The sequence below is a fragment of the Homo sapiens genome, chromosome 1 (assembly GCF_000001405.40).
Source record: "Homo sapiens chromosome 1, GRCh38.p14 Primary Assembly".
Taxonomy (NCBI): Eukaryota; Metazoa; Chordata; class Mammalia; order Primates; family Hominidae; genus Homo; species Homo sapiens.
The window spans coordinates 40,529,658-40,552,036 of record NC_000001.11 but is presented as its reverse complement, the minus strand read 5'-3'; the positions used below and the strand labels follow the sequence as shown (position 1 = coordinate 40,552,036).

At 40.9% G+C, this 22,379-nt stretch overlaps 1 protein-coding gene and 1 long non-coding RNA gene across 2 annotated transcripts, besides 1 other annotated feature; one reads left to right on the top strand and one right to left on the bottom strand.

Annotated features, from left to right (window-relative positions):
- Positions 1–3,869: 3,869 nt before the first annotated feature.
- Positions 3,870–20,400, bottom strand: ZNF684 (zinc finger protein 684). The gene is made up of 5 exons (NM_152373.4): positions 20,250–20,400; positions 18,856–18,894; positions 11,325–11,451; positions 10,327–10,422; positions 3,870–5,475 (listed from the first exon to the last, which is right to left on the bottom strand). The coding sequence occupies exons 2-5, from the start codon at positions 18,868–18,870 to the stop codon at positions 4,577–4,579; spliced, it is 1,137 nt and encodes a 378-aa protein (NP_689586.3). The 5' UTR covers positions 18,871–18,894; positions 20,250–20,400; the 3' UTR covers positions 3,870–4,576.
- Positions 20,306–20,600: an enhancer, noted in NCBI's record as "tiled region #98; HepG2 Activating DNase unmatched - State 1:Tss, and K562 Activating DNase unmatched - State 1:Tss". NCBI's record gives its function as "activates a minimal TATA promoter and a strong SV40 promoter by Sharpr-MPRA in HepG2 and K562 cells {active_cell/tissue: HepG2 | K562}" and the evidence as "EXISTENCE:reporter gene assay evidence [ECO:0000049][PMID:27701403]".
- Positions 20,491–21,459, top strand: LOC124904149 (uncharacterized). The gene is made up of 2 exons (XR_007066022.1): positions 20,491–20,549; positions 20,682–21,459. It is a non-coding gene; the product is annotated as an uncharacterized LOC124904149 (long non-coding RNA).
- The last annotated feature ends 920 nt before the right edge of the window (positions 21,460–22,379 follow it).

Below are 22,379 nucleotides of genomic sequence, written 5' to 3'. Positions count from 1 at the left end.
CTAAATGTCCATCAATGGTTGAATAAAGACAATGTGGGATATAAATACAATGGAATAATTCAGCCTTAAAAAAGAAGGAAATTCTGTCATAAGCTACAATGTGAATGATCCTTAAGAATTAGGGTAAGTCAGCTGGACAGGGTGGCTCACACTTACAATCCCAGAACCTCAGGAGGCCGAGGCAGGAGGATCACTTGAAGCCAGGAGTTTGAGACCAGCCTGGGCAACAAAACAAGACCCAGTCTGTACCAAAAACAAAACAAAACAAAACAAAACTTTTTTAAGCCAGGCATAGTGACATGCAGCTATGATTCCAGCTACTCAAGAAGCTGAGGAGGGAGGATTACTTGAGCCCAGGAGTTCAAGCTGCAGTGAGCTGTGATCGCGCCACTGCACTCCAACCTGGGTGACACAGTGAGACCCCGTCTCAAAAAAAAAAAAAAAAAATAGGCCAAGTGAAATAAACCAGTCATGAAAGGACAAATACTGCATGATTCCACTTATATGTATTATCTAAAGTAGTCAAACTTACAGAATCAGTTAAGTAAAATGGTGGTTGCCAGGAGCTGGAGGGGTTAGAAATGGGGAATTGTTCAATGGGTACTCAGTTTCAGTCATACAAGATGAAAAAGTTCTAGAGATCTGCTCTACAATGAAGTGCATCTAGTAAACAATAGTGTACTGTACATTTAACATTTTGATAGGGTACACTTCATTTTTTTTTTTTTTTTTAACACTTACAGTTTCTGGTTTCAGGTCTGGACAACAAAACAAAAGGTCAAAATATCTCTTCCATCTCATTACCACCTACCCTATAGATGATAATTGTCATTCCCATTCTGGACAACAAAACAAAACAGAATCCTGCATTTGCCTTGCCCCTGAGCTTTAAGAAAATACTGCTAAAATAGGGGTCTGGAAAACTGACAATAATTGAAAACAAGTAGCTTTTTTTTTTTTCAGACAATCTTGCTCTGTCACCCAGGCTGGAGTGCAGTGGCGCAAATATGGCTCACTGCAGCCTCGACCTCCCAGGCTCAAGCAATCCTCTCACCTCAGTCGCCCCCTATCCTCCTGGGGGGACTAGAGGTGTGCACAAAGCTGGCTCATTTTTTTCCCCTTTATAGAGATGGGGGTCTCACTATGTTGCCCAGGGTTGTCTCAAACTCCAGGGCTCAAGTGATCCTCCCGCCTCGGCCTCCCTAAGTACCACTATCACAGGCATGAACTATTATGCCCCATCACATAGCTTTTTTAAAGTTAGAAACAATACTTTCCAACCTGTGAAAGATGGTGAAATAGATACAAAGTTATAATGATGACAAAAGAATTTTTAAAAGATTTTTAACAAGGATGCGGGGTGAACTCTGAGAATCGGGTAAGCCATCTCAGAAGAATGAATGAGGAGGGTAATCAGAACAAGGAGATAAAGGCATGATGGGGAAATGAGAGGAGGTGAATTGGTTTGGAGTTCGATCAGAGTCAAGGTTCACAATTTCCAAATATTAAATTGTCCTGTTAGGATTTTCCTTAGTCTCCTTCATACACTGGTCTTTCCCCTCTTACTTATCTTGCACACAACCACCAAGCAAATTGTCAGCCACTAACTCCCTCTTATTATAGGCACCTTCTCATAGCCTCAGCCTCTGACTCCATCCAAAGTACAGCTAAGGCATATTTGCAGAAAATTATCCCACTCGATTTCTAGGTAGAATTCATTTGTATGGGAGCAAACAAAATTATGAAACCAGATACATCCTGATATATTACAATTTAAATGTCCTGGCTATATTTTATTTCCGGTAAGCTGGAGCAGACTATTGCACACTTCTTGCCACCTTGACCTACATAGCTGCTCTTTCAGGGGCATCTCATACCATGCAGCAACAGTGGAGCCTCCTGCCCCCTATCTCTCTTCCTTTATCTGTGTAGTTTGGAGTTTCTCAGATGAGGGTTACAGGCCGGGGAAGGAGAGAGAATGGAAATGGTAAGCACTACATAGGCTGAAGTGAGGACTTCATGTAGGAAATGACAGAAAACTCCTGAGCTGAAAAAAGGCAAGTACTGCGACTATAAATACCAAGATTTTCCTGTGTGGATGGCATACTGATTTTGAAGACAACTCCATGAAAAGAAGGTTCCAGAAATTTTGGAATGACCTCATAAGTGAAATTAGCATATAGCCTCCTAAAATAACTTAGAAAGACAAGATTTAATTTAGGTCTTTAAAGTCCCAGTATGCTTATTCAAAAAAGCACTATCGTTTATGGTTATTACCCAACACTACTCTTTCAAAAAATGGCTAATGAAAGAAAACAATGCAACATAATTGTAACTGAGCTTAAACTTAAAAGGCTTGATTTCTGAATTTAGGTTCAAGTCTAAGTTTTGTCACCACTCAAGAAAGACATATAAGTTTTTTGGCATTACCAAGGAATACTGTGGACAGCAAGAAAACTTTAAATAATGGCTAATTAATCCTTGAAGGGAATATGTAGAACTTACAAAATGTCATATTCCAAAGTTGCTAAGCAGAAAAACTTGCTCTTTTCTAACAAGTTTTCATCTTCATTAATGATGCCTATGCTGTTCATACGGAAAATTCCAGGCATCTTCGGGGCTAAACATGTTTTGACTTCTCAAAAAAAAAAAAAAAAAAAAATCCCTGTAATCCCAGTGCTTTGGGAGGCTGAAGGGGGATGAGAGGCAGGGGGATCACTAGAGGCCAGGAGTTCAAGACCAGCCTAGGCAACATAGTGAGACACCTTCTCTACAAAAAATAAAAAATTAGCCAGGTGTGGTGGCTTGCACCTGTCGTCTTCGCTACTTAAGAGGCTGAGGTAGGAGGAATGCTTAAACCCAGGAGTTCAAGGTTACGGTGAGCTATGATTGTGCCATTGCACTCAAGACTCAGGAACAGGGTGAGACCTTGTCTCTATAAAACAACAAAAGGCCAGGCATGGTGGCTCACGCCTGTAATCCCAGCACTTTGGGAGGCCGAGGTGGGCAGATCACGAGGTCAGGAGATCGAGACCATCCTGGCTAACATGGTGAAACCCCATCTCTACTAAAAATACAAAAACAGGCCGGGCATGGTGGCTCACGCCTGTAATCCCAGCACTTTGGGAGACTGAGGCAGGAGGATCACGAGGTCAAGAGATCGAGACCATCCTGGCTAACGTGGTGAAACCCCGTCTCTACTAAAAATACAAAAAAAAAAAAAAAAAAATTAGCCAGGCCTGGTGGCAGGCGCCTGTAGTTCCAGATATTCGGGAGGCTGAGGCAGGAGAATGGCGTGCACCCAGGAGGCGGAGCTTGCAGTAAGCCAAGATTGCGCCACTGCACTCCAGCCTGGGTGACAGAGTGAGACTCCGCCTCAAACAAACAAACAAAACAACAAAATCCCCAAAACTCTCTCCCCAAAAGTTGCAAAGTATCATGAGACCCTACTTAATTAAAATAAAATACAGATGATGCCCCAGTTAAATGCCACTTAAGCTGGCCGGACGCAGTGGCTCACGCCTATAATCCCAGCACTTCGGGAGGCCGAGGTGGGCAGATCACGAAGTCAGGAGTTCGAGACCATCCTGGCCAACATAGCAAAACCCTGTCTCTACTAAAAATACAAAAATTAGCCAGGTGTGGTGGCATGCGCCTGTAGTCCCAGCCACTCAGGAGGCTGAAGCAGGAGAATCGCTTGAACCCAGGCAACAGAGGTTGCAGTGAGCCGAGATCACACCACTGCACTCCAGCCTGCGGGGAAGAGTGAGACTCTGTCTCAAAAAAAAAGAAAAACAAAAAACACAAAACCACTTAAGCTATCCTTACAGCTTACGTAGATATATCAATGAAAAAGCAAAACAGAAATATTTGAAGTGCAAATTATTTATTTACATATTTAAATAATTCTTTTCCTCAACTGAATACTTACTGTAATACAGAATACAAGTGCCTTTCTCTCCTCAATTAGTGTCTTGTTTTTTGTTCTGGTATTTACATACATAGGAAAATATCTTTATATTAATTTTAATAAGAAGTCTTCACTTGTATAATTAAAGGAGACTCAGATTCAGAAACACTGTCATGCCCATTAAAAGTGCCAGCAAATGGATGAAAATATCACTGAAATTCATATGACATATTAAAACACATTTTCTCACTTGATTAATTATGTATGTTGAGACTGGAAGAAAAAATGTTATTTACTGCAGAAACTGTTAATAGGCATACTTTAATATAATGTATAAGCATATATTTTAAACTCACACTTGCATAATTATTTTATTATAAAAATTAAAAGTCAGGAATGGCAAATGTAGTTTTCACTGGTTCTTTGATTTTTTAAGTTATGCTTACTTTCCAAGCTTTATGCTCTATTATTTATAGTTGTTTTCTGTCATATTTTCTGTAAAAAGTTTATTATCACTTCCAGAACATGATTGGCATTGGTTGTTTTTTATGGGAATCTACTCTTCCAAATTCATTTAAATTGTAGACTTCTCACCATGAATTCTTTAGTATTTAATAAGATTTAGCAAATATTTAATAAGGCCTTCTCATATTCATAAAGTGAATATTATGTATGAATTTTCTGATGTACAATAAGATTTGACTTCTGGGAAAATGCTTTCCCACATCTGTTACATTCATAGGGCTTCTCTCCTGTATGAGTTATCTGATGTCTGAGGAGATGGGACTTCTTGATGAAGGCTTTGCCACATTCAATACAACTGTAAGGTTTCTCTCCTGTATGAATTCTTTGGTGTGTAACAAGCACGGATGTGTTGCCAAAAGCTTTGCCACATATGATACACTGGTAGGGTTTCTCTCCTGTATGAAATCTGGAATGTTTATAAAGGGATGAACTATACCTGAAGGTTTTCCCACATTCCTTACATTCAAATGACTTCTCAAGTGTATGAGATTTCACGTGTTGATTAAATGAGGAGTTCCAAGTGAATGTTTTCCCACATTGACTGCACTCATAAGGCTTCTCTCCAGTGTGAAGTCTCTGGTGGACCACGAGTTGGGCTTTATGCATAAACGCCTTCCCACAATCATTGCACACAAAGGGTCTCTCTCCATTATGAATTTTCTGATGAGTTGCAAGGTGTGCCTTCCTGCTATAGGCTTTTCCACAGTCATTGCATTCAAAAGGTTTTTTCCTTGTATGATTTTTTTCATGTCTAATGAAATGAAACTTCTTTTTGAAGGCTTTCCCGCATTCACTGCATTCATAAGCGTTTTCTACAGTATAACTTCTATTATATTTAAGTAAGTCTAAATTAGGTGGCAAACACTTCTCAAACGATTTATATGATTTTTTTCTCATTGGATTAAGACTTGTGCTCATATTATAATGGTGGATTCTCTCCATAGTCAGAATTTTATTGAATGTGAGCAAAACTGACTTCAAAAAATTGTCTTTGCTTTCCCGATGCTTCCCTGGTTCATCAACAAGTGGGTAGTCAGATTCTAAAAAGGAGTACAACAAAACATTCCTAGTTACTTTTTCCCATCAACATGCTATAGAGAAAAACGTCTATAATTTCAAATACAGTATCTCATTCTGAAAGAAATCTTATATTTGCCTCACTCCTCCTGAGCTTTAAGAATAAAACTGCTGAAGAGGGAATGGGAGCAGATGCCTTAACTTGTGACCTGTGGAAAGACAGTAAATTAGGCACAAGGTAGAGTGAGGGTACGAAGGAAGTCAAAAGGCTGCTCAACGAGGGTGCAGGGTTAGCTCATAAAATGAAGAAGACCCATTGTGGAGATCTGATTAATGGATAGGACAACCAAACACACAGGAGATAGGCCAGGCATGGCGGCTCACGCCTGTAACCCCAGCACTTTGGCAGGCCGAGGCGGGCAGATCATGAGGTCAAGAGATCAAGACTATCCTGGCCAACATGGTGAAACCTGGTCTCTACTAAAAATGCAAAAATTAGCCGGGTGTGGTGGCACATGCCTGTAGTCCCAGCTACTCAGGAGGCTGTGGCAGGAGAATTGCTTGAACCTGGGAGGTGGAGGTTGTGGTGAGCCGAGATCACGCCATTGTACTCCAGCCTGGTGATGGAGCGAGACTCCATCTCCAAAAAAAAAAAAAAAAAAAAAAAAAGAAAAGGAGACAAAGGCAAAGGGATTAAGGGAAAATATCAGAGAACAGACTAGGTTTGGAGGAGGTGGTAACAGGCAGAGTTATATAAATCACTACATAATTAATTTCTAGACAACATTGGTAGGATAATTCCCTATTTCTCTCACTTGTGCCTTTTTCCTCTTAATCATTCTGCACAGTATCAGTTTCCTTTAGAAACATTCTCAAATCTCCAGTCCTCTAACCCCAAGCAAACCACAGCTGAAGCATGTCTGTAGTCATGGCTCCAGCTCTACTGAGAGCTAGAATTCATTTGTACCTGTACTTGTAAGCCCAGGAACACAAATGTCCAGCAAGTCATCCAAGCGTAAGTCATCCTTAGCTTGGGATAATAACAGCAAACAGATTCTGTCTATTTGCTATTATTTTTTTATTCTGGCTGAGTTTCTATATATGAAAAATACCTGTCATACTTCTATTTGGCAAATACTCTTTTTACATCCTCTTTCAATCTAACAAACCAGTCTTCAGCAAGCTGCTTTGCTCTTGAATTCACATTTTTTCACTATCCTCAAAACACTATAAATCCCAAATCTGTTCCCATCAAAAAAAAATTGGGGAGAGGGGGTCATAATTCCCCACGCTTAAGTTTTCCTCCATGTGGAGTGTTAGTACAATACTCCAAGCCTCTTTCTCTATGCCTTATTCTCTGCGGAGCTAGACTGAGTAGTGGGCTACAGCCATTGGTACACATTTCTTTATAGAGTGGTTCTGACTCTGGGGATTTGGTTCCTTTCTTCTTTCCGCTCTATTTCAACCGATGGGAAGCAGCATCTTGCATTACCTCTACCAACAATAATCCACTGAAAAATTCAACATAATCAGCCTGGCAAACAAAATTATGCAAGATATGAATTCACTCATGGGAAGCATGCATTTCACTAGTCCTCAACAAATACCTTCTACTCCATGGATTCTAGATTCCTAAATTCAATCTTTTGCTCATGTTCGTTGTCCACCTTCATTTGCACCCCCCCTTATCTCCTCTCGTCCTATCTAGAACTTAGATACTCTTTAGGGAGGAACCACTGTTCCATGACCTCAAAAAAAAGACTTCTCCAAATTTTGCATACTTTAAACTTTAAGCTCCATTTTCTATGAATTTCTAAGATAGTCACTGCTGCTGTCTGTCATTTTGACAGTTAATTAGAACAAAACTGCAATGTTAATGTGCATTGAAGAAATGTTTCATACTCGTTTGTTGAATTTTAAAATACTTTATTTTTGGGCCAGGCACGGTGGCTCACACCTGTAATCCCAGCACTTTGGGAGGCCAAGGCGGGTGGCTCACAAGGTCAAGAGATCAAGACCATCCTGGCCAACATGGTGAAACCGTGTCTCTACTAAAAATACAAAAATTAGCCAGGCATGGTGGCGGGCGCCTGTAGTTCCAGCTCTTCGGGAGGCTGAGGTAGGAGAATCACTTGAACCCGAGCTGAGATTGCGCCACTGCACTCCAGCCTGGCGACAGAGCGAGACTCTGTCTCAAAAAAAGACAAACAAACAACAACAAGAAAACAAAACTTTTACTTTTTATTTATATATTGTTTTCCTAACCACTAAACCACCAGGGAAAATATTTTAATATGAACATGTTTTGCTGTTCCAACTACCTTTCATAAGTTAGAAAATGGTAATGAGATTTTTGCTTCCTTTGAACCTTTTCAGGTAACATTTTTAAAAGCCTTGTTGAATGGAAGAATAAGAAACATCTCCCACATTGCTATGACAGGGATACTGAAAAAAAAGAAAAATAAAAAAAGAAACATCCCCCACAATGTCTGGCTCTATAACAATAAATTAATAAAATATTCATTGGATACCATGATGTGCTCTGCATAAAACAGGTCATTCTCTTCAGGCACTATCATAAAAAAAAAAAGAAAAAGAAAACAGGCCTTAAAAGCCACATGCATTAAAAAAATATATCCAAGACAGTATATGTAAATTTTTCATGACAGAGTCATAATAGAATTGGCTTGGGAGTTCAAAGAAAGTGAAGATTAATTTAGACTGGAGTTACAATGAAAGAGGAAAAGCTGAAATCAGACTTAAGAAAATGCTGGTTTTAGGAACAGACCAGAATCAGAAGGATTGATGCAGAGAAGAAAACGGTATATAAGCTGGGCGAGGTGGCTCACGCCTGTAATCCCAGCACTTTGGGAGGCCAAGGCGGGAGGATCATGAGGTCAGGAGACCGAGACCATCCTGGCTAACGTGGTGAAACCCCGTCTCTACTAAAAGTACCAAAAATTAGCTGGGTGTGGTGGTGGGCACCTGTAGTCCCAGCTACTCGGGAGGCTGAGGCAGGAGAATGGCGTGAACCCGGGAGGCGGAGCTTGCAGTGAGCCCAGATCTCGCAACTGCACTCCAGCCTGGGCAACAGAGCAAGACTCTGTCTCGAAAAAAAAAAAAAAAGAAAACTGTATATAGTGGACATTAAAAAGGCCAATTTCCATGGAATAAAAAAAAGATGGATAATTCTGGGTAAGTAAAATGGGACCATGTTATAGAGGACATTAAAAGCCATTTAAATATCACAACACAGGTTATAAAGGGGATAATTTACATTTTTCAGGAGAGCAACAACAGAAATAGAATAATTTGGATAAATCTTGTAGAAATATCTAATGTAAACTAGAAAATAGAATGTAATTTGTAAAACAGTAACATAAACAGTCTAGATACAATATCAGTAATTAAAATTCAGCTGAGGACTGTGGCATGTGCCTGTGGTCCCAGCTGCTTGGGAAGCTGAGGCAGGAGACTTGCTTGAGGCCAGGAGTTCAAGGCTGCAGTGAGCTATGATGGCATCACTGCACTCCAGCCTGGGTGATGGAGTAAGACCCTGTCTCTAAAAAAAAAGTCATTTGGTTTATGTCAACAGAAGTTGGGGTCCCAGGGAATCTGAAATATATTTAATTGGTGTCAATCATTTGAAAGATATGTCAATCATTTGAAAGAGTTCTTTTGTGAACTCTGCAGAAAGGGAAAATTTAATTTTGAATCAGTCTTGAATAAACTAATCGCTGAAATCATAGGCCATAAGTTAGTATCATATTTAAGGAGAAACTATTGACAGGAAAAAAATCAAATTGCTTAATGCAGTGGTTTTGAGACTGCAAAGCAGGGGGCCATTCATTATTATTTATTGTGATATAAAGCTAAGGGTGACAATTGAAGAAATAAAAAAATTAGTTACCATGAAGGCCAGGTAGAGTAAAATTATGGGAATGAAAAGTTGGTGAGGCAAAGATGCTAGAGTTGGCATAAAACAAGTAACTTTAGTTTTCAGAGTGATGAGGCTTCTGAGGGAGTTATTGTAGAGAGAAGTCAAGAAGATGGAAGAGAAGGCCTGAGCAAAAGGTGAATAAGCAGTAAGAAAGGGTGAGAACAGATTAGTAAGACAACAAAAAGCTGGAGGGGAATTTCAAAAAGTTATCAATATTACCAAGTGAAACAGAAAGTTGCGCTACAAGACATATCCCAAATTATCAGGGAGAAGAAAGATGCAAGATGGGATTTATGATGCAAGAAAAGGAATAAGTTAAAGAAAAAACAAAAGGAAAATAAAATAGAACATGATGTACCTAAAAGTTTTGAAAAAAATAATTAGCATATACTGAACATTTACTATCTGCCAACTATTTGAAGTGTTTTGCATGTATTACCTCATATAATCTTTACAGGAAACCTGAGGTAAGGATTAATGTTCCTATTTTATAAATAAAGAAAATTATGCTACAAAATAATCTGCTTAAGGTTAGACAGTGATTGGTAGAGTAACGCCTCAAATTCAGATAATTTAACTTCATTATAAGGACTACGTATATAGAAAAAGATCGATGTTGAGAAGGGAAGAATAATGAGGGTTTTAGGAATTAAGAGAACATAAACAAAGCAAGGACCTAGATGAAACAGGCAGTGTGAGAAGCCTGAGGAGACAGGAGAGGGACAACCCTCCATACAACAGCTGAGCAAAGAGAAAGGGCACGTGTGGGGAGAATGAGGGTGAAGGCAGCTTTTGGGGAGCTGGCTGATGATGTTATGTTAAAGGTGTGTGGCTTTTAAGAGGTGCTTCTAAGAGTATTTCAGAACTTCCTGTCCCTCACTGACCAATGGGGATCTCAACTCCACACAGCCCCATCTGAATTTCTCTCACTCACCTGGAGAGCTCTCGTGTGGATTCGCTCCCTCCACCATCCATGGCTCTTGTCCTTGCTCTACCTTGAGGATCACTTTTGTTTTGGTAATTGGACATCCTGTTGGTGGGAAAACAGCATAGAAGTGGGGCCAAAGTGCTAGGCAAACAACCAGCTCACAACTTGGGTTACCTCCTTGAGTCTCAGGATTTTTAAAGGATAACAAGCAGCCTTTAAAACAGAACAGACCCAGGCTGGGCGCGGTGGCTCACGCCTGTAATCCGAACACTTTGGAAGGCTGAGGCGGGCGGATCATGAGGTCAGGAGATCGAGACCATCCTGGCTAACACAGTGAGACCCTGTCTCTGCTAAAAATACAAAAAATTAGCCGGGCGTGGTAGCAGGCACCTGTAGTCTCAGCTACTCGGGAGGCTGAGGCAGGAGAATGACGTGAACCTGGGAGGTGAAGCCGAGATTGCACCACTGCACTTCAGCCTGGGTGACAGAGCGAGACTCCTTCCCCCCTCCAAAAAAAAAAAAAACAGAACAGACCCTTCTCCTCCATCTGGGAAGGAGAAGAATAAGCAGACTACGTGAAGCTCAGAGGGGACTCAGAATCTTTGACAACTAAAATGTAGGGCCCAGCTGATTAATGCTTCAGAATGCTCACAGTTTTCATACGATTTTTTTTTTTTTTTTTTTTTGAGATAGGGTCTCACTCTGTCACCCAGGCTGGAATGCAGTGGTACACCTAGGCTCAAGCGATCCTTCCACCTCAGCCTCCCAAGTAGCTGGGACAACAGGCATGTACCACCACACCTAGCTAAATTTTGTTGAGACAGTCTCACAACGTTGCTCAGGCTGGTCTTGAAATCCTGGGCTCAAGCAATTCTCCTGCCTCCCAAAGTGCTGGGATTATAAGCATGAGCGACCACAATTGGCAAACGTTCCCAAGTCTTAAAAAATGAGCACTATTAGTATACACTGAATTACACTGAAAAGTTACCACTCATTGTCCTTACCCACTGAGATGAGGTTTCTATAGTTCTCCAACATCACATCCCAATACAGGGTTCTCTCAGCACAATCAAGCAGCTGCCACTCCTCTGCAGTGAAATCCACAGCCACATCCTGGAATGTCACTGATTCCTGTAACAGCACATTTATCTTCAAACTAAAGTGTGTATCACTAGCGAACTTGCAAGAGAATCAAGGCAGCTCCTTAATATCATATCATGTTCACTGTTGAGTTTGTAGAAAATCAGTTATAATGATTACATGCTTGATTCGGAAATATGCTTTGTGATAGTAAGAAAAATCTTATTAAACATATCCAACTGGTGCCAGAACAGTTCAACAGGGGAAAAAAAAGTCTTTTCAACAAATGGTACTGAGACCACTAGACATCCACATGCAAAAGTATGACACTGAACTCCCCATCCATTTTACATCATATAAGAAAATGAACTAAAATGGACCAGAGAGCTAAAAGTAAGAAACAAAGCTATCAAACAGTTAGAAGAAAACAGAAAAAAAGTTTTTTGTGACCTTGGATTAGGCAGTGATTTGTGAAATATGACAGAAAAAGTGGAAGTGACAAAATAAAAAATAAATAGGAATTCATCAAAATTAAAACTTCTGTGCTCCATAGGACACTGCCAAGAATGTGAAAAGAAAATCCACAGAATGGGAGAAAATATTTGCAAATCATATATCTGATAAGAGGCTTGTATCTAGAATATATAAGTAACTCTTAAAATTCAACAATAGGGGGAGGGGAGAAAAAAATCAACAATAAACAGACAACACAATTTAAAAATGGGCAAAGGATTTAGAGACATTTCTCCAAAGATATATCTATATATCTATATATAGATATAGACATAGATATATGTATGTATCTATGTATCTGTGTTGGTATGTGTATAGTAAATAAGCCCATGAAAAGATGCTCAACATTAGGGTCTGAAACTGAAGCAAGAAAGAAAAAAAAATAAAAAGAAAAAAGATTCTCAAAATCATTAATTATTAGTCATTAGTGAAATGCAAATCGAAACCATAATGAGACAGCATTTCACTTCTATGAGGACAGTTAAAATCAAACGCAGACAATGACCTGTGTTGGCAAGGATGTGGAGAAACCGAAACTCTTGTACGTTACTCAACTCCTGTACACTGGGATTGCAAAATGGTGCAGCAACGACGTTTTTTCTTTTTTCTTTTCTTTTATTTGATATAGGGTCTTGCTGTGTCACCCAGGCTGGAATGGAGTGGAGTGGTGCAATCAGGGGTCATTGTAGCACCCAACTCCTGGACTCAAGCGATCTTCCTACCTCAGCCTCTCAAGTAGCTGGGCCTACAGGCACATGCCACCACACCCAGGCAATTAAAAAAATATTTTTTGGAGGCCAGGTGCAGTGGCTCATGCCTGTAATCCCAACACTTTGGGAGGCCGAGGCAGGTGGATCACGAAGTCAGGAGATCGAGACCATCCTGGCTAACATGGTGAAACTCCGTCTCTACTAAAAATACAAAAAATCAGCCGGGTGTGGTGGCATGCGCCTGTAGTCTCAGCTACTCAGGAGGCTGAGGCAGGAGAATTGCTTGAACCCGAGAGGCGGAGGTTGCAGTGAGCCGAGATTGCGCCACTGCACTCCAGCCTGGGTGACAGAGTAAGACTCTGTCTCAAAAAAATATATATACATATATTTTTAGAGATGGGGTCTCACTACATTGCCCAGACTGCTCTTGTACTCCTGGCTTCAAGTGATCTTCCTGCTTCAGCCTCCCAAAGGCTGGGATTACAGGCATGAGCTACCTGTAATCCATAGTTCCATACGCAGTTCCATGTAACTATGGAAAAGAGTTTAGCAGTTCCTCCGAGTGTTTGTTTGTTTGTTTGTTTGTTTTTTGAGATGGAGTCTCACTCTGTCACCCACGCTGGAGTGCAGTGGGGCCTCCCGGGTTCAAGCAATTCTCCTGCCTCAGCCTCCTGAGTAACTGGGATTATAGGTGCACATCACTGATTTTTGTATTTTTAGTAGAAACGGGGTTCTACCACATTGGCCAGGCTGCTCTCAAACTCCTGACCTCAAGTGATCCACCCGCCTCAGCCTCCCAAAGTGCTGGGATTACAGGCATGAGCCACTGCACCCAGCCTTCTCCAAGTGTTAAACATAGAGTAACCATATAACCCAGCAATCCCCTCCTAGGTATATACCCACGAGAATTCAAGACATTTGTCCACACAAAAACCCACAGACAAATGTTCATAGTAAGAGTTATTCATAGTCAAAAAAGTGGAATAATCTGGTGTCCATGAACTGATAAATGGATAAAGAAAATGTGGTATATCCATATGATGGAATATTATTTGGCAATAAAAGAGGAATCAAGCACTGGTACATCTACAACATGGATGAACCTTGAAAATACTGTATGGGGCCAGGTGTCATGCCTCTCACCTGTAATCCCAGCACTTTGGGAGGCTGAGGTAGGCAGATCACTTGAGCCCAGGAGTTTGAGACCAGCCTGGACAACATACCAAGACTCAGTCTCTACAAAAATAAAAAAAAATTAGCTGGGTATGGTGGCATGGACCTGTAGTCCCAGCTACTTGGGAGACTGAGGTGGGAGAACTGTTTGAGGCTGGGAGGTTGAAGCTACAACACAGTGAGACCCTGCCTCAAAAAAATAAATAAATAAAAAAGAAAAATAGGAAACTATTGTATTGGGTGAAAGAAGCCAGTCATGAAAGATTACATATTTCATGGTTCCATTTGTATGAAATGTTCAGAAGAGAAAAGCCATAGAAAGAGAAAGTAGATTAGTGCTAGGGAAAGGGAGGAATGAGTAGTGACTGCTAATTAGGGTATGGAATTGCTTTTAGGGTGATGAAAATGTTCTGAAATTAGATAGTGGTGATGGCTGTACAACTCTGTGAATACACTAAAAAACCACTGAATTGTATACAATTGTTATTTTTTTTTTTTGAGACGGAGTCTTGCTCTGTCGCCCAGGCTGGAGTGCAGTAGTGTGATCTTGGCTCACTGTGGCCTCTGTCTCTCAGGTTCAAGTGATTCTCATGCCTCAGCCTCCTGAGTAGCTGGGACTACAGGTATGCACCACCACACCTGGCTAATTTTTTTTGTACTTTTAGTAGAGACGGAGTTTCACCATGTTGGCCAGGATAGTCTCTAACTCCTGACCTCAAGTGATCCGCCCACCTTGGCCTCCCAAAGTGATGGGATTACAGGTATGAGCCACTGCACCTGGCTGACTGTATATACTTTAATTGGGTCACTTTTGTGGTATGATAATTATATTTCAATAAAGCTATTTAAAAATATCACTTACATATTCTTATTTGTTCACTTATAAAATATTTAATGAGGCTCTACCAACCCTATACTGGAGATATCAAAAGAAATAAAATTATTACTCCTCTCAGGGATCTTACACTCTATTAGACTCTACAAAGTAAACGTAAGTGCCATAAGATGTTACTGAGACTGTCTCACACCAGTTAGAATGGCAATCATTAAAAAGTCAGGAAACAACAGGTGCTGGAGAGGATGTGGAGAAATGGGAACACTTTTACACTGTTGGTGGGACTGTAAACTAGTTCAAACATTGTGGAAGTCAGTGTGGCGATTCCTCAAGGATCTAGAATTAGAAATACCATTTGACCCAGCCATCCCATTACTGGGTATATACCCAAAGGAATAAAAATCATGCTGCTATAAAGACACATGCACACGTATGTTTATTGCGGCATTATTCACAATAGCAAAGACTTGGAACCAACCCAAATGTCCAACAATGATAGACTGGATTAAGAAAATGTGGCACATATACACCATGGAATACTATGCAGCCATAAAAAATGATGAGTTCATGTCCTTTGTAGGGACATGGATGAAATTGGAAATCATCATTCTCAGTAAACTATCGCAAGAACAAAAAACCAAACACTGCATATTCTCACTCATAGGTGGGAAATGAACAATGAGAACACATGGACACAGGAAGGGGAACATCACACTCTGGGGCCTGTTGTGGGGTGGGGGGAGGGGGGAGGGATAGCATTGGGAGATATACCTAATGCTAGATGACGAGTTAGTGGGTGTAGCGCACCAGCATGGCACATGTATACATATGTAACTAACCTGCACATTGTGCACATGTACCCTAAAACTTAAAGTATAAAAAAAAAAAAAAAGATGTTACTGAGACTGTAAGGTTTACATGCCAGATGCATGTAAGCATAATAAAATAGGAACACATGGATACTTTTACATGATAAAATATGTCCTTTTTTTTTTCTTTTTTTTTTTTTTGTGAGACGGAGTCTCGCTCTGTCACCCAGCCTGGAGTGCAGTGGTGCGATCTCGGCTCACTGCAAGCTCCACCTCCCGGGTTCATGCCATTCTCCTGCCTCAGCCTACTGAGTAGCTGGGACTACAGGCGCCCGCCACCATGCCCGGCTAATTTTTTTGTATTTTTAGTAGAGACGGGGTTTCACCATGTTAGCCAGGATGGTCTCGATCTCCTGACCTCGTGATCTGCCCGCCTCAGCCTCCCAAAGTGCTGGGATTACAGGCGTGAGCCACTGCACCCGGCTAAAATATGTCCTTTTAACCATAATTCCAAAATCATGTTTAATGGATAAATGTTAAAAGCACCGAAATTAAAGACAAGTAGTTACATATCTACCACAAAAGAGATAGTTAAGACCATTGTCAGCAGGGATTAGGAAACTGTAACCCATGGACTGGCCTCCTGTTTTTGTAAACAGAATGTTATTGAAACATAGTCACACTCATTCATTTACTTCAGCTTCAAGGACAGAGTTGAGTAGTTGCCACAGAGGCTGTATGACCTTCAAATCTAAAATATTTACTATCTCACCCTTTATGAAAAAGTTAGGACTAGGAAGGGTTTATTCCAGGAATGTATAGATAGTTCAGTACTGGGAAATGCACTGAAAATTCTCTAAACTGGTATATTAAGGGTGGCAAGATATATTATATTACTGACAGCTATTTTAAAAAAGGGTATGAGGCCAAAAGTCCCTAGTTATTAAAATAATCTTTGCAAGTTAAAAATCCTTAACTTGATTAAAAACAAAATAAAAAAAAAACAACTATCTACTAGAATACAAGAGGAAACGGTGAAACACTGGGAGCACTCCCATTAAAATTAGGACAAAAAAGACTTCTGGCTAGCAATTACAGTTAATCCCTGAACAACACAGGTTTGAACTGCCTGGTTCCACTTATACTCAGATTTTTTTGCAATGAATATAGTTGGCCCTTGGTTGGCAGGTTCTGCATCTACAACCAAATGCAGATAAAAAAAAATACAGTATTCTTGCCATGCAAAACCCATGAATATGGATGGCCAACTTTTCCTATCCTTAAGTTCCACAGGGCCAACTGTACTGTGGGACTTCATTATGTTCAGATTTGGGGATCTGCAGGAGTTCTGCAACCAGTCTCCCATGGATACCACAGGATGGCTGTTTATTCAAAACTGCAGTGACTAGAAGTCCTGGCCATTGCAATGAGACAAGGAAAATATGGGGGAAGGTATAAATATTGGGCAGGAAGAGATAAAACTCCATTTGGAATGTATGATTGTCTACCTAAGAAATAGAAGAATCAACTAAAGAACTCTTAGATCTAACAAGAGTTCTGTACATTGGCTGGATATAAATTCAACATAGAGAAATCCATCTTTTCTTTTCTTCAGAGACAGGGTCACCCAGGCTAGAGTGCAGTGCTGTGACCATAGCTAGCTATAGCCTTGATCTTCTAGGCTCAACAGATCCTCCTGCCCTAGCCTACCTAGTAGCTGGAACTACAGGTGTGTGCCATCATGCCATGCTAATTAATTTTTTTTTTCTAGAGATGGGGTCTTGCTATATTGCCCAGGCTGGTCTTGAACTCCTGGCCTCAAGCAATCCTCCCACCTTAGCCTCCCAAAGTGCTGGGAATATAGGCATGAACCACCATGCCCAGCCAAGAGAAGTCCATATTTTTCTATTTACCAAAATAGCCAATTAGAAGAGATAATGAAAAAAAGGCCTACCTCATTCTCAATAGCAACTAAAACCATATGTAAGAATAAATATAAGAAATGTACAGGAATTACAATAAGAAACTTATAAAACCTATAAAATTATAATAAAAGGGCCGGGTGCGGTGGCTCATGCCTATAATCCCAGCACTTTGGGAGGCTGAGATGGGTGGATCACCTGAGGTCAGGAGTTCGAGACCAGCCTGACCAACATGGTGAAACCCTGTCTCTACTAAAAATACAAAAATTAGCCGGGCGTGGTGGCGGGCACCTGTAATCCCACCTACTCAGGAAGCTGAGGCAGGAGAATCACTTGAACTCAGGAGATGGAGGTTGCAGTAAGCCAAGATTGTGCCACTGCACTCCAGCCTGGGTAACAGAGTGAAACTCTGTCTCAAAAAAAAAAAAAAAAAAAAAATTATAATAAAAGACCTATAAGAAAACCTGAATAAATAGGACTCATTGAAAAGTCATGAATTCTCTCCAAATTAACCTATTAAGTTTAATGCAATCCTAATAAGAATATCTGGCCGGGCGCAGTGGTTCACAACTGTAATCCTACCAGCACTTTGGAAGGCTGAGGCAGGCAGATCACTTGAGGTCAGGAATTCGAGACCAGCCTGGTCAACAAGGTGAAACCCCGTCTCTACTAAAAACACAAAAATTAGCTGGGCGTGGTGGCACATGCCTGTAATCCAAGCTACTTGGGAGGTTGAGGCAGGAGAATCGCTTGAACCTGGGAGGTAGAGGTTGCAGTGAGCTGAGATCACGCCATTGTACTCCAGCCTAGGCAACAGAGCAAGACTGTCTCAAAAAAAAAAAAAAAAAAAAGAATACCTAACATACTGCTTTATGAACCTTGACAATATTTGTTATTTTGATGACCTTAAAATTCATGTAGAAGAGTAAATGCTCAGGATAGCTAGAGACTGGAAAAGGTACAAGATTTACTTATGGATCCAGGTGGGCATTAAAAAGGCCACATACCTGGACTTATAAATTGAGTTCATTTAGTGCTGCTTGGCACTATGTTCTTACTCTAGGGAATACTCTAAGAAAGTCATAGGAAACCTGATGCTGTATTTATCGCAGGCTGCTGCTGTGAATGTTATTTCTAATGTTATCTATGTGAAAACTCATTAGAAAAGATTTTCTTCAAAGAACTGTGTCAGGAAAAACTTTACTTACAAGGAGAATAATTTTGCTTTATCTTCACAGCAATGCCAATACTTTTTAACTGGCTGGTTATCCATTTACTATGATTTCCAGGAAGACTGAGTACACATTTGCAGCTCAAATTTGTTCCAACCATCTGCAAACCCTATGACTTGAATATCAACTTACCAATCTTCTAAATTTCCTTTTAGACTTGATCTTTTATTTGGTTTACATTTTTCCTGACCATACATTTCCTTTTTATCATATGGATTTTTGGGAGATTTAAACAACTGGATGAATAGATGGATACCTTACCTGGAAGCTGATCATTTTCTGCAGCTCTTACACAGAAATCTATGAAAGTAGAAATGGGGAAGAGAATAGAAAGACCTGAGATACCAGGACTGCATGCAAAGTAGAACCCTGCTCTATCAGACCATAAGTACCCACACTGCAGCCTCAGAAAATGCCACCTAGTGGGGGAGAATGACATTTCTAGCAAGACAGAAAAGTCCATGTTCCATAAGCACAGATCTCTACTTGTGATTGTTAGGAATATATGGAGCTTAGATAAGGATGTTATATGTTTCTGTCCTACTGATCTAGCACCAAGTGGTTCCTCTTGAAACAGTTATTTTTTTTCCTCCCAGAAATTTATCCTGAAGAAATAATGAATGAGTTGACTCACTTAAAAGCTTGGTCTCTGAAGCTCCGTAAGTCTAAAAATGATTCCTTCCTGTGATTCTCTGGTTTCTACTCTGACGCTGGGATAAGAGATTGCAAATTAGGTTGGGCTTTCTTGAGAAGGCTGGATTCAGGGACCCAGGAACACTTTTTTTTATTTTTTTTTTGTTAAGCTGGATCCTTCAGTTTAAACTCCAAATGTTTCTCTCTGTAGAAACTCGCCATCTCCTATGAGCTTAGAACTGCTGGGGCTCTAGAAAGGGTATAATGGGCAAACCGGGGACTCACATCTTCATTTACACAGTCTGCACTGGAAGATCTGCAGATACACCAAGAGACTCTACAAAATGACTACAAATCGAAATTTACTCAGCATTCATTGCTCAAACATTTCAGGAGAATAAACCCAACTCTGTTTTATGCAGGAATGCTATACTGTAAAAAAAAAAAAAAAGAAATTTGGAGAAAATGTATCTGAGTTTGAATCTCAGTTCTTCCACTTACTAAGCTGTGTGAGTCCAGGCAAGTAATTTCACCTTTCAGCTTCAGTTAACTCATATGCAAAATGGTAATAGCATTTACTTCAAATGATTGCTGAGAATACCCTTCTAATCCATAGCAGTTTCTCAAGAATGCTTTCTTCCTGGATCCCTTGAAATAGCTTACAGTTTCCACTGGATCCCTTGACACGGCTTAAAATTGTCGCAGGCTCCAGTCGGGCCAACTATGCTCTTGGAACCAGGAAAGGTACAGTTAGATGAACAGACTCCTACATAGTGACCTTGACCTACAAGAGCAGGAATGCAAATTGAGCCTCTCCCAGTCCCACCAGAGCCCTGGACATCTACCCAGTGCCAGTCGGAGCCCAACTCTTGCTTTCTCTCAGCTACTCGAGTTGAACAGGACCCACATATCCAAACCTGAAGTCACTGCGCTTGGAGACTAAAGTTTTATCTTCGGTAGGGTAAACCTAGAAGCCAGTCCCCGCCTTTCTCTTACGTCCTCCGAGTCCAGCAAAGCCATACCTGCCACCCTTTCACTGCCTCGCTCGCAGCTCCGGCTCCAAGCCTGGGATCAGTCACAGCGTCGTCCAGAGACAGGGGAGCAACACCCGCCCGCACTTCCCGCGGCGCTGATTTGAAGATTGAATACCGGCTACCGTCCTACTACGCGTGTGCGGAAGTAACTGTCCACCTAGAGTTCCTGGACTCCTCCCGGGTGTAGGCCATCCGTCGGAGACCACATTTCCCATAAGGCCAGTGGAGCTCGTTTCCGGAAGACGTCAGACGCTGCTTCCTCTTGGGGGGTGGTGCGGAGATTCCCGGGTTGGTATCTCTATTGCTAGCCTGAGAGCCACGCTTTTTAAGTCGTTTTCATTTAAAAGGATACACAGCATTTTTAAATACTGGAAAGTAAAATCGGCGGTATGCTAAAAACAATTTGCTCTTACTCAGCAGGGTTTCTTCTAGCAATGCACCAGGTTAAGTCGGAGAGGTGAAGAGGATCCAACAAAGAAGACTGAGAAGGAATAATCCATGAAGTAGATGGAAAAGTAGGAGAGTTTAGATCTGCAAAACCAAGGGAAGGAAGTGTTTCAAGAAGGGAGTGACCCATTGTCTCAAATGTTGCTCATAGGTCAAGTAAAATGAGAATTAAGAATGGGCCACTGTAGCAATGGTCACCAGTGATGTTGAAACGCCATTTTGGCAGTGGTGGAAGTTTGATAAAGTCTGATGAAAATTTGATAGGAGTTGGAGGGAAGGATGGGAGGAGAGGAAATGGAGAAAGCAAATATACGCAATACTTTTAAGAAGTTTTGTTTTTAAGGTGAGCAGAAAAATAAGGCTATCATGGGATAGGGATTTTGTTAATCTTTTGTTGTTGCGTTTTTCCACGTTCTAATTTTTTTTTTTTTTTTAATTCAAAGATGGGGCTGAGTGTGGTGGCTTATGCCTGTAATCCTAACATTTCAGGAGGCCAAAGTGGGAGGATTGGTTGAGCCCAGGAGTCTGAAACTGCCTAGGCAACATAGTGAGACCCTCATCTCTACAAAAAATAAAAAACTAGCCTGGCATGGCACCCGCCTGAAGTCCCAACTACTTGAGAGGCTGAGATGGGAGGATCGCTTGAGCCCAGACAGTAGAGACTGCAGTGAGCCGTGATCCCGCCACTGCACTGCAGCATGGGCGACAGAGCTAGTCTCTGTCTCAAAAAAATAAAATAAAAAAGATGGAAGAAATTATAGTAAGTTTATGTACTAATTAAAAGGATCTAGGCTGGGCGCAGTGGCTCACGCCTGTAATCCCAGCACTTTGGGAAGCTTAGGTGGGCAGATCACCTGAGGTCAGGAGTTGGAGACCAGCCTGGCCAACGTGGTGAAACCCCGTCTCTACTAAAAATACAAAAATTAGCCGGGCGTGGTGGCAGACGCCTGTAAACCCAGCTACCTGGGAGGCTGAGGCGGGAGAATCACTTGAACCCGGGAGGCAGAGGTTGCAGTGAGCCGAGATCACACCACTGCACTCCAGCCTGGGCGACAGAGCGAGGCTCTGTCTCAAATAAATGAATTAGTTAATAAAATAAAACAAAAGATCCAGTAGAGGCGGGAAATACACAATTCAGGATAGACAGGCTAGTTACTCGGAGGAATGTCCTTGAGAAGAGAAGGGATGGAATCCAGTACACAATCACAGGGATCATTCTAAGTAAGAGTATGGATAATTCATCTCCATTGAAATAAAAGGGGAGGCAGAGTTTATAAGTACAGATCCAAACAGGTGGACAAATATGGTGGTAGGAGAAAGAGGATGCCCTGTTCTGAGTGCTTCTATTTTCCCAGTGAAATAGGAAGCTGAAATGAAGATAGGGGGAAAGTATTTTAGACTTGACAGAAAAGATGAATACCGTATTATGATGATTTTGAAACATGATTTTTTCATATTTTAACATCTGTGAAATTGCTGTCTTACAAGTGATGGCATTCCATAGTTTAATCAGGAGCATTGTTTTTTATTAGTATATAAAATAATAATACAACTTATAATCAATGGCATCTGAGATTCGATAAAGTATGATTTATGAATGTGAGCAAGTGAATAGATTAAGGAAATGTAGTACTATTGCCTGGCACCATTAAGAACTGGCTTGATATTAGT

Excerpts from the sequence above, each read along its gene's own strand:
- ZNF684 (NM_152373.4), bottom strand. Across the intron at positions 10,423-11,324 it reads TAGAAACCTCATCTCAGTGG|GATGTCCAATTACCAAAACA; the intron begins GTAAGGACAATG and ends TCCCACCAACAG. Across the intron at positions 5,476-10,326 it reads TCCACACGAGAGCTCTCCAG|AATCTGACTACCCACTTGTT; the intron begins GTGAGTGAGAGA and ends ACTCCTTTTTAG.